Source organism: Homo sapiens, chromosome 3 (genome assembly GCF_000001405.40).
Source record: "Homo sapiens chromosome 3, GRCh38.p14 Primary Assembly".
NCBI classification, from domain to species: Eukaryota; Metazoa; Chordata; class Mammalia; order Primates; family Hominidae; genus Homo; species Homo sapiens.
This window is the reverse complement of record NC_000003.12, coordinates 184,522,063-184,535,242: the sequence shown is the minus strand read 5'-3', so window position 1 is coordinate 184,535,242 and position 13,180 is coordinate 184,522,063. Positions and strand designations below refer to the sequence as shown.

The following is a 13,180-nucleotide window of genomic DNA, read 5'->3' as shown; positions in this document are numbered from 1 at the left end:
CCTCGGCCTCCCAAAGTGCTGGGATTACAGGCATGAGCCATCGCTCCCGGCCTGATTTCTAATTTAATTGTATTGTAGTCAGAAAACATACACTGTGAAATTTCAGTCTTCTGAAATATATTGAGACATATTATCCTCCAGCATATGGCCTATCCTGGGAATAATCTGTATGCACTTGAGAAGAAAGTGCAGTTGTTGGGCATATTGTCCTATATATGTCAGTTAGGTCCTGTTGCTAGTATCATTCAGATCTATATTCTTACTGATTTTTTTTGTCTAGTTATTTTATCAATTACTGACAGAAAGATGTTAAAATTTCCAACTATAATTGTGGATTTGTCTATTTCTCCCTTCAGTTTTGTCTTCCTATGTTGCCCAGGCTGGTCTCAAACTCCTGACCTCAAGCCATCTTCCCACCTTGGCCTCCCAAAGTGCTGGAGTTATAGGCAGGAGCCACTGCACTTAGCCAAAATGTCTTTCTTTTACCCATATGTTTGAGGGATCTTTTCACAGAATATAAAACCATGGGTTGTTAGTTTTTTCGGTCAGCAATGTGAAGCTGTTCTCCTATTGTCTTGTGGCCTCCCTTGCTTTTCTTTTCTTTTTCTTTTTCTTTTTTTTTTGAGACGGAGTCTCGCTCTGTCCCCCAGGCTGGAGTGCAGTGGCGCCATCTTAGCTCACTGCAAGCTCCGCCTCCCGGGTTCACGCCATTCTCCTGCCTCAGCCTCCCAAGTAGCTGGGACTACAGGCACCCACCACTACGCCTGGCTAATTTTTTGTATTTTTTGTAGAGATGGGGTTTCACCGTGTTAGCCAGGATGGTCTCGATCTCCTGACCTTGTGATCCCGCCTTGGCCTCCCAAAGTGCTGGGATTAGAGGCATGAGCCACCGCTCCCAGCCTCTCCCTTGCTCTTCAAGAGAAGTCAGCCTTCATTCATGTCATCCCTTATATATAACGTGTCTTTTATCTGGCTAATTTTAAGACTTTCTCTTCTTCTTTATTTTTATTTTTATTTATTTATTTTTTGAGATGGAGTCTTGCTCTGTCACCCAGGCTGGAGTACAATGGTGAGATCTCGGCTCACTACAACCTCCACCTCCCAGGTTTAAGTGATTCTCCTGCCTCAGCCTCCCAAATAGCTGGGACTACAGGCGCCCGCCACCACATCTGGCTAATTTTTATATTTTCAGTAGAGATGGGGTTTCATCATGTTGGCCAGGCTGGTCTCAAACTCCTGACCTCGTGATCTGCCCGCTTTGGCCTCCCAAAGTGCTGGGATTATAGCTGTGAGCCACTGCGCTGAGTCAAGGTTTTTTCTTTATATTTGATTTTCAGCAGTTTGACTGTAATGAGCCCAAGTATAGTTTTTTTTTTCTTTTTCTTTCTTTTTTTTCTTTTTTAATCCTGGGAGTTCACTGAACTTCTTGCATCTGTAGGTTGATGTTTTCACTAAATGTTGGGAAAATTTGGTCATTATTCCTTTGTATGCTTTTTATTCTATCCCATCCTCTTTGTCTCTTTTCTTTTTGAGATCTCTGCTTTAAATCTGTTAATTATGCAGAAGAGATTTTCATAGAAAACTAGCAATCACAGCCATAACATTCCCACCAGTAGAAAAAGAAAACAAAGGGAAGCAGAGACACACTCCTTTGCTACTGCTCATATTCTATTGGCCAGCACCCTGGACAGCTGGGAACTGAATAAATTCCCTAGTTACAGAAGGAAGGGGAAAAGACTTCCAATTATAGCTCTGAGGGAGTAACTGATACCAGGTTCCCACCATCACCACCATAAACAACTATAAAATCAGACAAAATATTTGAGACAACTGTTTTCAGGCACTGGGCAACAGGCGATACCAGACTGTGACCCTTGAGAGAAAGGAAACGAAACGTACGAGGTGAATTCTATATTGGCCCTGGCTTTCTTTCTGGGGGCGTTTCTGAGTCACAGTATGGGGAGATGAAGCTTACACAGAGCAACACATTCTTGCTGAGCTCAAGAGGCAGAAATTGGAGTTTGGTGCTGCCGAATTGGCTGGAATTTGCAGGGCAATACAACAGAAAGGAGGATCTGCATGGGGGTGAGGGTGCTTCCAGTCTACTTTGGGTTTCTCCAATGACCTTTGGCTGAGGGCTTGGCTGAGCACATGCCAGCAAGACACCGTGAAGTCTAGAAGAAGGCTGCTAAGAGCTGGATAGGGCTCAGAGCTGGATGGGAATGCCAGAGGTGGCACAGTGTTGGGAGTTCCGGCCAATCCATAGTTAGGAGTAAGGACCATGTTCTGTCTAGAGTAAGGACCAATTCCTAAGACTAAGGACAAAACCAAAACAGACCAAGCCTGCGGGATCAATAAGATCCACTGGTAATTTAACCACCTACCAGAATAAAAGGGGCAGAGTCAAAGTCAGTAAATTAAAGAACAGACTTTTCCAGTGCAAAAGCTGTGCCTAACGAAGAGCTGCAACTGTGGTTACTTGCACGTGGTAGCAACACAGAACCTACTAACTTTTGGAAGAAATTTTATTGCCAAAGAAACCATGGATATGGCTGGGCATGGTGGCTCATGCCTGTAATCCCAGCACTTTGGGAGGCTGAGGTGGGTGGATCCCCTGAGGTCGGGAGTTCGAGACCAGCCTGCCAACATGATGAAACCCTGTCTCTACTAAAAATACAAAAATTAGCAGGGCATGGTGGCGGGTGCCTGTAATCCCAGCTATTTGGGAGGCCGAGGCAGGAGGATGGCTTGAACCTGCGAGAAAGAGTTTGCAGTGAGCGGAGACCACACCATTGCACTGCAGCCTGGACAACAAGAGCAAAACTCCGTCTCAAAAAAAAAAAAAAGAAAAAGAAAAAGAAAAAAAGAAACCACAGATATGGTCTACAAAAGCCTGGGATGGTTTTGACTCCTAAAGTAACTCTAGGGTCCCCAGACAGCACAGGCTGAAAGAGGTTGTGGAACCTATGAGCTCCCCCTTCCTCAAAGGATATAGTCTCCAGTGCCCACTTGAGATGTGGCCAGAAAAAACAACTGACAGAGAATAACCTCCCAGAAAACAAGCCCGTCCTCTCTGGGGCCAGTGGACAAGGGACTTGCTCCCAGACAGCGATGCCAGTGGTGACTCCATGCAAGGGAAGGGAGTCTTTGTAGGATCTCATTATCGCTATGAACCAGTGACTAATGCATGTTTTCCGTTCTTCCCTTTTCTGAAAGTTTTTATTAGTTATCCTGTTCCTTCTCCCCCAGCGCATACTGGGTTTATATGTCATAAGAAGCAAGAGAAGTAACTTTTCTTTTGGTTTATAGGTCAGCAGAGAGAGAGTCACATCTGGACCTTTGGGAGAGGATCCAGAGAGTCTGCACTTTGCACAGATGCCATCACTGTAGACCTGTCTTCCTTGGGGAGGAGCAAGTGTGTTCTGTGAGTGAGACAGACGGACATTTGGGTGGCTGCCCAGGCTCCTTTCCAGCTGGATGTAGCAAAGTTACCTAGTTCTAGACAATGGAATGGGAGCATATGTGATGTGTGCTACTTCCGGGTCATGCTCTTAAAGGGAATCGGGAGGAGTTTGTCTTGATTTATTGTTTTCCCTCTTCCCACCAGCTAGAATCCAAACATAATGATAGGAGCTACAGCAGGTATCTTAGAGCACGAGCTAGAAGTCCCACGTTGCGAAAAGCACATAGAGCTTCAGTCCCTGACCCCATCCAGCTGCCATGCCTAGTCTGCATTGCCCACCACCTGGCCTGTTTTTTGTTTTTTTGTTTTTTTGTTTTTGAGACACAGTCTCACTCTGTCATCCAGGCTGGAGTGCAGTGCTGCGATCTCGGCTCACTGCAACCTCCATCTCCTGGGTTCAAGCGATTCTCGTGCCTCAGCCTCCAGAGTAGCTGGTGGGATTACAGGCATGCGCCACCATGCCTGGCTAATTTTTGTATTTTTAGTAGAGAGGGGGTTTTGCCATGTTGGCCAGGCTGGTCTCGAACCCCTGACCTCAAGTGATCTGCCTGCCCCGGCCTCCCAAAGTTCTGGGATTACAAGTGTGAGCTACTGCGCCCAGCCCACCTGCACTTTTATCTGAGAGAGAAACCAGCTCCTATTTTTTAAGCCACCATCTTCAAGATCTTTTTGTTGCGGCTACCCGACCCATGATCTCAGCTCATCCTCCTCCTGCTGCTTATTCTCTGAGATGGCATTTGGGGTGTGGGAGGTGGGTCTTAGCTGGTCTAGTGGTGAAGGTGAAGAACAGGCCTCAGTTCCTGAGCACAGATTCATGTGCTGCCCTATACCTCCTCTGATTTCTGTAGCCAGTTTCATGTTGACCCCATCACAGGGCATGAATCTCGCTGACATCTGTTGCTTACGTTGATAGCTGAGAAACTCTAGCTCCTCCGAGTCCAGGGGTCCTTTCAATTGATTCTTCTCCACTTTGGTCCTACTACTGTGCTTGATCCCCCTCAGGGAACTTCCATTAGGCTCCCAGCCTGAGTGACCACCCAGCCGTCAACTATAGGGTCACCTCTCCTCACAGAAGCTCTTCCCCTGCAAGAGTATCCAGGAAATTCTCGACACTTTTCATGCCAATGAATGGGCAGCTAATTGTTGGTCTTGTCTCTGCCTAATAGGCAGACAGATTGATACAGGGCAGGTACCTGGTGAGGCTTCTCTTCCCAGAAGCCCAAATTGAAACAGAGTCAGAGGCTTCTCTTCTGCTTTCGGTGTTTCTTTCAATCTGCCTGTGTCTAGAACTGGGGCTGTCAGGACACATCTCTCACAACTGCTTCTCCCTGCTCCATCTTCCTCTTCCCCCTTCCATCTTCCTCCTCCCCCCTCCATCTTCCTCCTCCCCCCTCCATCTTCCTCCTCCCCCTACAACCCTCCCAGGGAAGGGGGGGCATTTTTCCACTTCCTCTTGATAGCGCATCTCCCATGTGGACTTTCATGATTAAATCTACCAAGGTTGGCCAGGTGCGGCGGCTCACGCCTGTAATCCCAGCACTTTGGGAGGCTGAGGCGGGCAGATCACCTGAAGTCAGGAGTTCCAGACCAGCCTGACCCACATAGCGAAACCGCATCTCTACTAAAATAAAAATTAGCCAGGCATGGTGGCGCATGCCTGTAATCCCAGCTACTCGGGAGGCTGAGGCAGGAGAATTGCTTGAACGTGGGTGGCAGAAGTTGCAGTGAATTAATGGGTGCAGCACACCAACATGGCACATGTATACATATGTAACAAACCTGCACGTTGTGCACATGTACCCTAGAACTTAAAGTATAATTAAAAAAAAAAAAAGAAGTTGCAGTGAGCCGGGATCACTCCATTGCACTCCAGCCTGGGCGACAGAGTGAGACTCTGTCTCAAAAAAAAAGTCCACCAAGGTTGAGCCTTGATCTATTAGAGGACGAGCTTCAGGATAAAATCAAAATCATTCCTTTTCTTTTTTCCATAAAGGCTTGCATTTGAGCCTCTGGTCTTGCTAAATGGGTTAAGGAAAGTTAAGAAAGTCTCTCAAGGGTGCCTCTGTCCCAGGCAGTACCTGCCCTTCTTTCCCTGGGCAATGAGCTTCATGGCTCAGCCTTGGGGAGGAGAAGCTGAAAGAGTGTGATTTACAGGGAAAATAAAAATATGTGGATTTAATATTTTTCCTCTTGCATATTTTATCTCAGTTTGGCACTTGTATTTTTACTTTGTTTATGATGTCTTTCAAGGACAAGCTTTTTAATATTTATGGTGTCAAATCTGTCAGCTTTTCCCTAATGGCTTCTGGGTTTGGTGCCCCGCATTGGAAATCTTTCTCCACCCTAAGACCGAACATAACTTTTAATGGCTGCAAAGCATGCCATTGTGCAAATATGCAAATAAGCCCTAATTTATTTACAGATGAATATTTAGTGTGTTTCTACTGTTTAAGTCATAATAAATAATGCAGCAAACATCTCTGTAAATACATTTTATCTTCTGCAATGCACAGTTTCTTTAAGGATAGATTCTTAGGGAATCCATGGGCCTTTTTCACCATTTTAAAAGCCTTTACAACAATGAAAGAATTACCTCTTACAAAGCTGCACAGGTCAACTAAAATGTCAATTTTCTTTTGCATAGAATTGCACCTGCTCAGTGTGGTTATATTGCATTTCAGGTTGACTAAAAGCTCTGGTAGTTACAAATGACTTTGATTAATAAAAATATGAAAAATTATGAGTTAAAAAATGCCACTTGTCTGATAGACTAAAACTTTCCGAAGACCGAGGGGGAACTTAATAAAACTGTTTTCTTTCTTTCTTTCTTTCTTTTCCAGACAGGGTCTTGCTCTGTCACCCAGGCTGGAGTGTGGTGGTGTGATCACTGCACACTGCTCACTGCAGTCTTCACCTCCCAGGCTCAAGCGATCCTCCTGCCTCAGCCTCCTGAATAGCTGGGACTATAGGCACGTGCCACCATGCCCGGCTAATTTTGTATTTTTTGTAGAGACAGGGTTTTGCCATTTTTTCCAGGATGGTCTCAAGCTCCTGGGCTCAAGCGATCTACCCACCTCAGCCTCCCAAAGTGCTGGGATTACAGGCATGAGCCACCACACCCGGCCAAAAGTGTTTTGTATTGTATAGAGATGTCCAGAGAAGAAAAAGACCATTTCAGGGATAACCAGTTAATTCCCAGGAATCAGGTTCTAGATTTCTTATTCACATTATCAGCCCTTCATTTAAACAAATACAGTCAACATCACCATCATCACATCCCCACCACCATCCTCACCATCACCCACCCCATGCACCTGGCTTCACTCATAGAGAACCCATCTCTCCCCTCACTGGAGCTTGAGCTGTACAAGAGAGATTCCACCACCCCAAGCTCATACATGAGAAAACAGAGTTTCAGTGATGTGGAACTGGAAGAGTGGGCTTCTGAATTTGAAGCTAGTGTTTTATTGATAATAAGAAAGTTAAGTTTCTAAATTAAGAAATTAGGTGCTAGAGGCTCGGCGCAGTGGCTCATGCATATAATCCCAGCACTTTGGGAGGCCGAGGCAAGCGGATCACCTGAGGTCAGGAGTTCGAGACCAGCCTGGCCAATGTGGTGAAGCCCTGTCTCTACCAAATATACAAAAATTAGCTGGGCGTGGTGGCGTGCGCCTGTAATCCCAGCTACTCCGGAGGCTGAGGCAGGAGAATCGCTTGAACCTGGGAGGCAGAGGAGTATAGGGCACAGGAGGAGCAATTAATTCCAATTGAGGGAAATCTGGAAACGTCTGCCTGATTTCTCTCATTGGGGATCAGAAAACAAAATGAGCCTAAATGAAGGCCTCAGATGCAAAAGTTTTTCTCTGATCTTCTCCTGTCCTCCTGTCTCTGGCCCCTCATTCTCCCCTGCAGCTAGCCCTAGAAACTAGAATCTTTCTTCCCCAAGACAGATCATAGAAACCAGAGATGTGGCCGGGCCCAGTGGTTCACGCCTGTAATCCCAGCACTTTGAGAGGCCGAGGCATGTGGATCACCTGAGTTCAGGAGTTTGAGACCAGCCTGGCCAACATGGTGAAACCCCATCTCTACTAAAGATATGAAAAATGAGCCAGGCATGGTGTTGGGTGCCTATAATCCCAGCTACTCGGGAGGCTGAGGCAGGAGAATCACTTGAACCTGGGAGGTGGAGGTTGCAATGAGCTGAGATGGCAACACTGCACTCCAGGCTGGGCAACGGAGAGAGACTCCGTCTCAAAAGATAAAACAAAAAGAAATGATCTAACCTACTGTTTTTTTCTTGTTTGTTTGTTTTGTTTTGTTGAGACATGAGTTTCGCTCTTGTTGCCCAGGCTGGAGTGCAATGGCGCAATCTCGGCTCACTGTAATCTCTGCCTCCTGAGTTCAAGTAATTATCTTGCCTCAGCCTCCTGAGTAGCTGAAATTACAGGCATGTGCCACCACACCCGGCTAATGTTGTATTTTAGTAGAGACAGGGTTTCACTATATTGGTCAGAATGGTCTTGAACTCCTGACCTCAAGTGATCCACCCTCCTCAGCCTTCCAAAGTGCTGGTGTGGGATTACAGGTGTGAGCCACCGTGCCTGGACTACTTTGTTTGATTGTAGTTCATAGGACCCCATTCCAAAGAGGGGCCCTGCCCCATCCCCAGAAGGAAAGGTCAGGAGTTTGAGACCAGCCTGACCAATATGGTGAAACCCCGTCTCTACTAAAAAATACAGAAATAAATTAGCTGGGCGTGGTGGCGCGCACCTGTAGTCCCAGCTACTAAGGAGGCTGAGGCAGGAGAATCGCTTGAACCTGGGAGGCAGAGGTTGCAGTGCGCCGAGATCGCACCACTGCACTCCAGCCTGGCGACAGAGAGACTCCGTCTCAAAAACAAAAACAAAAAACAGCTTCTCTTGTATCTTTGGGTTGTCATTCTAAAGGCTCCCATGTCACATAAACTGTGATCAAATAAATTTGTATGCATTTTTTCCCGTTAATCTGCCTTTTGTCAGTGATTTTTAGTAAACCTTCAAAGGAGGCTTTCCCTTGACTCCTACACTCTCCTTGAAATAAGTAACTTCTACGGTTTTGCGAGAATCTTTTTTCTTACAATAGGAATGTATGTTTACTGAAGAAAATTCAGGAAATAGAGATAAGCAAAAAGTAGAAAATTTAGATCGACTAGAATCCCATCTCTTAGGGAAAAACATAGTTGGTGTTTTCTTGTTTTTTGCATCTTATTTCCTGCATATGTATATGTGTTTGTGTGTTTGTGTAAGAAACACATTTTTCAAAGAACCAAAATGGGCTCATCCCACACCTACTGGTTTTCCCTTTACCGTACAATCTAAAGCTAGCTCTACATCAATAGCAGGAGCCAGGGGGCTTGTGAGAAGAGCAGAATGTCAGGCCCGAACCGGAATCTGCATTTTCGTAAGCCCCCTAGAGGATTCCTGTGCCCCACACACTCTGGGGAGCATCGCCATTTTTAATGGCCACAGAGTCTCCCAAACAGGGCTAGACCGTGATTCACTCATTGCATCTCTCGGTGGTGAGGATTTTCCCTGTAACAAGAAGCTGGTCCCTCTGGGATCTCTGGGCTCTTCAGACCCTCCCCCTCAGTCCGTGCCCAGGAGACTCCAACAGCTGGGCAGGCGGCGTCCTTGCCCGTCCTCCACGGGCGAGATGCGCTGTCCACCTCCGCCCTCCTCTTGCTCCACCTGGCCAGAGGCCTGGGCTGCGCGCTCCCCGCGCTCCTGCGCAGGCTCTACTGGGAGCCCCTCCAGGGCGCAGTCCGGACCTGACGGGCAAGCCCTGACCTGCCTTTCATCCCGCTGATGCTCGCGCCCAGCTCCCTGTGAATACCCACTGATTGCCCCCGGAGTCTCCCCGTTAGGCCCTCCCGCACCTCTTACCCCTTCCTCCCCTTCCTGGCCTCCCCAGCTCCCTCACCCGCCTTCTAGAAGCATCCTCCCCCTTCTCACCCACCTCTCTACTCCTCCCTTCCCGACTTCCTCAATTCCCACCTCCCCCCCAAATTCCAGTCCTCTCCCTGGGAAAGAGAAAGCGGCCGGGGTCCCACCCTGGCTGTGTGTGGCCCGCGGTGGGGTGGGGCAGCCTGCCAGCCGCCAGGTAGCGCGAATGGAGCGCGGGGCGCCGCGCGCTGCGGGCGGGTGAAGCCGGAATCGGGGCGGCGGCTCGGCCCCCGGCCCCCGGCCCCGGGGAGCCCAGAGCGACTAGTCGGGCAGGAAAAGAATGACGGTGACGTGACCACTCTGACCCCGAGGACTCTCTGGGCTCTGGCGGGCGCTGGGCTCGGCGGATCTGAGTGCGTAGGAAGGGCGATGGGCGCTCAGTCCCCGAGGATCACCTGCGGGACCCTTTGGGGGCACCTGCCGGAGCAGCTGGCCCTGCGACGGGTCCCACCGCGCCCTCAGCAGCAAGGCGGTTCTCCCTTTATAGAGGTTTTACGTGCGTTTGTGGGGGGTGTTCTCAAAACAATACAAATAAGCTTCCATTGTCACCGATCAAAATAGTAAGGGCTTTTTAAAAGGAAACTGTTTAGGGCTGACAGAGCTACAGAGGAAGTGGAGTGATCCGGGCACAGTCAGGGACGGGGGAGGGGGGCGGAACTGGTCTAGCTGTTTTGGCAAAATGTAATAATACAGAGTTAGAGTCTTTGAATGCTCACACTGTTTGATATTGTGGTTCTAGTAGTGGTCATGCATCAGAAGAAATAATCCCAAATATTCCCCCAAAGCTTTTATGGACACAGACATTCTTTGCACTGAAAAATGAGAAAAAAAATTATCTAAAATTGGAATCAACTAGTTGGGCACTGATAAATACATTATGGTGTATCCACAGTTGTGATATCATTCTGTCATTGATAACATTTCTGAAAAGTTTTCGATAGTATAAGGAAATTTTCTCATTCTGTAAAAGGCACAAGGTGAGTTTGTATACACAAGATAATCACAAGTATATAAACTAAGCATAGTGGAAAGACTGGAAGAAATACATTTTAAATAGGAATGGGTGCTTTTTTTTTCTTTTGAAAAAACTTTTTTATGAACTATTTCAGATACATATCAAGGTATAGAGAAGAACTTACCCATCAATAATCATGGGGAATGGAGCAACCTCACTGCTGAAGCCCCTTAGGGACCCTCTTCACCACCTTCCTCACCCTCATCCCTGAGGTGACTTCTCACTATCTTTATTACATATGAGTGGATTCCTAAACATTATATAAGTATTTCAAACTTGACATATATGACAAAGTATTATGCACACTCCTTTGACTTGCTTTTTTAAGTCAACTTGGTGCTCTGGGGATTCATCCATGTCGACTCATGTTGATGAATCTGGCTCTGGTTCATTCAGTAAATATGACTTAATATTTCTCAAAAACGTAGAGCAGAGCCTGGCACATGGCACTACATATGTTTGTTGTTTTTTAAGAAATAAAAAATCATTTTCACTGCAGTATAGTAGACTTGTTAATATCATACTAAATGTATTGATCCATTCTCCTGCTGTGAAAATTTAGAATGTTTCCATTTTGTTCTTATTACAAACAGTGCCGCGATGAACATTCTGGTCTGTGTCTTCTTGTGCACATGTGAGTTTCTATGGAGTGCACCTAGCATTGGCCACAGACATTGCAAGGGATGCCTAACTTCAGTGCTACAAATTACTGCCCAGTCGTTCTCCAAAGCGATCTTGCCAGCAGCAGATGAGTCATTGTAGTAACACTCCCAGCCCTCAACACTGCCTCTCATCACGTCAGTTCTTTTCCAGTGTAATGGGTGTGGTTACTTCTCATGGTTTAAATTTGCATTTCCCTAATTACCATGGGGTTAGAGGTCAGGCATTTGTTCCTATGTTTATTGGTATTTTTTATACTGTAAAGTCTTGATCATAACTTTTTCCTATTTTTCTATTGGTTGTTGACATTTTCTTGTTGGTTTTTAAGAATTCTTTATAAATTTTGTATCTTAATCTTTCATCAGATGGATGAGTTGCAAATATTGTCATTCACTCCATGGCTTATCTTATAACTATTTGTGATGTCTTTCAAGACACAGAAAATTTACATCTGCACATATTCTAATTTACCTCTTTCTTTAAAGTTTGTACTTTGGTTGACATGGTTAAAGTACCTTTTCCTCTTCCAAGATATAAGTTTCCCTACACTTTCTTCTAAAAGTTTTTAAATTTTGTCGTTTTATATTTGGTCTTACATCTATCTGGATTTGATTCTTTGTAAAGGTGTGGTGGAGAGATCATCTTTCTCCTTGGATAATAATTGTCAAAGCATTTATTGGACAGCTCATCCTTTTCCAGTCATCTGCAATGCTGGCTTTGCCATAAATCAAATTTCCCAGTAAGTGGTGGTCTGTTTCTGGGTTCTCTATTTTGTTACATTGTTCTGTCCTCTAGCAATACTGCACTCTCACATACTATAACTTGATAATAAGTCTTGATTTCTGGATGAGCATGTATTCATACATTTTTTTTTCAAGACTATCTCAACTATTTGGAGTTCTCTGCATTTTCATACATATTTTAGAATTAGCTTGTCAGTTCTATAAACATTTTGTTGGGATTTTGATTTAAACAATGACTTCCTAGGTTAATTTAGGGAAACTGACATCTTCATGATATTGAGTCTTCCTATTGATAACCATGGAATATGTCTCATTTATTTAGGTCTTCTTCAAAATCCTTCAATAAAGTTTTTCATATATATCTAACATCTTTTGTTACATTTATTCCTAGATACTTGATTTCTATAAAATTTCAGCAGTCTCCAGGATTTACTTTCATAATTGGAAAACAACACCTTTACGTATGGTTTTAATTGTAAACCTTTTCAGTTATAATCCTTAAAAGTATTTAATGATTTGTATCAACATGCAGATTGGGGTCATGGGAAGATGGCCTCTACAGTGAGTTTTCTCCAGTTTGACAAAAAGTATTAGAACCTTTGGAGAAAGGAAGAAAGCAGGAGAATTTTTATGCACTTAAGAATTTACAAAGTTTATGTGTGTGTAATAGAGAGGCAAATAGAAACGGAGACAGAGAGACAGAGCGAGAATATAGGGCAATAGATTTATAAAAAATGGAAAATGACATGAGCACAGTGTAGTCACGTTAGAAAGCTGAGGCAGGAGGATCACTTAAGCCTAGGAGTTTGAGGCTGTAGTGCACCATGATGGCGCCTGTGAATAGCCACTGCACTTCAGCCTGGGTAACACAGCAAGATCCCCATCTCTTAAAAAAAAAGTACAAAGCGTACAAATGGAACTCAGCTGCCCACCTGCCCACCTCAGGTTATCGGCTCCCCCACCAGCAGGCTTCCGCTGCTTACAGGTTCTTGTGTAGCCTTCCAGAAATATTGTAGTCTCCTACAATTATGCATATGATTATATTCTCTCCAAATCTATCCCATCCATTTTTTTGACACCAATTAAAGTATAAAATACAGTTCAGCACTTTGCTTTTCCCTTTGTAATCTTCCCATGTTAGTGCATAAAGTTTAGCTCATTTTAAAAATAACTACACAGTTCATTTTCCAGTTCCCTGTTAACTTGTGTCCAGTCTTTTGCAATAACAAACAACACTGCAATCATCATTCTTATACATACAGCTTTACAACAATGGGAGCATCCCTATAGGAATGGGCAGAGAATAAATGCATGTGTA

At 45.2% G+C, this 13,180-nt stretch overlaps 1 long non-coding RNA gene across 1 annotated transcript in view, besides 2 other annotated features; it reads right to left on the bottom strand.

The window, feature by feature from the left end:
• Positions 1-13,180, bottom strand: part of LINC01839 (long intergenic non-protein coding RNA 1839) — a 76,964-nt gene that overhangs the window by 17,621 nt on the left and 46,163 nt on the right. The window lies entirely within an intron of this gene.
• Positions 8,640-9,442: an enhancer, noted in NCBI's record as "H3K27ac hESC enhancer chr3:184243589-184244391 (GRCh37/hg19 assembly coordinates)". NCBI's record gives its function as "activates a minimal SCP1, AML or CMV promoter by ChIP-STARR-seq in naive and primed H9 embryonic stem cells {active_cell/tissue: H9 hESC(naive and primed)}" and the evidence as "EXISTENCE:reporter gene assay evidence [ECO:0000049][PMID:30033119]".
• Positions 9,443-10,247: an enhancer, noted in NCBI's record as "H3K27ac hESC enhancer chr3:184242784-184243588 (GRCh37/hg19 assembly coordinates)". NCBI's record gives its function as "activates a minimal SCP1, AML or CMV promoter by ChIP-STARR-seq in primed H9 embryonic stem cells {active_cell/tissue: H9 hESC(primed)}" and the evidence as "EXISTENCE:reporter gene assay evidence [ECO:0000049][PMID:30033119]".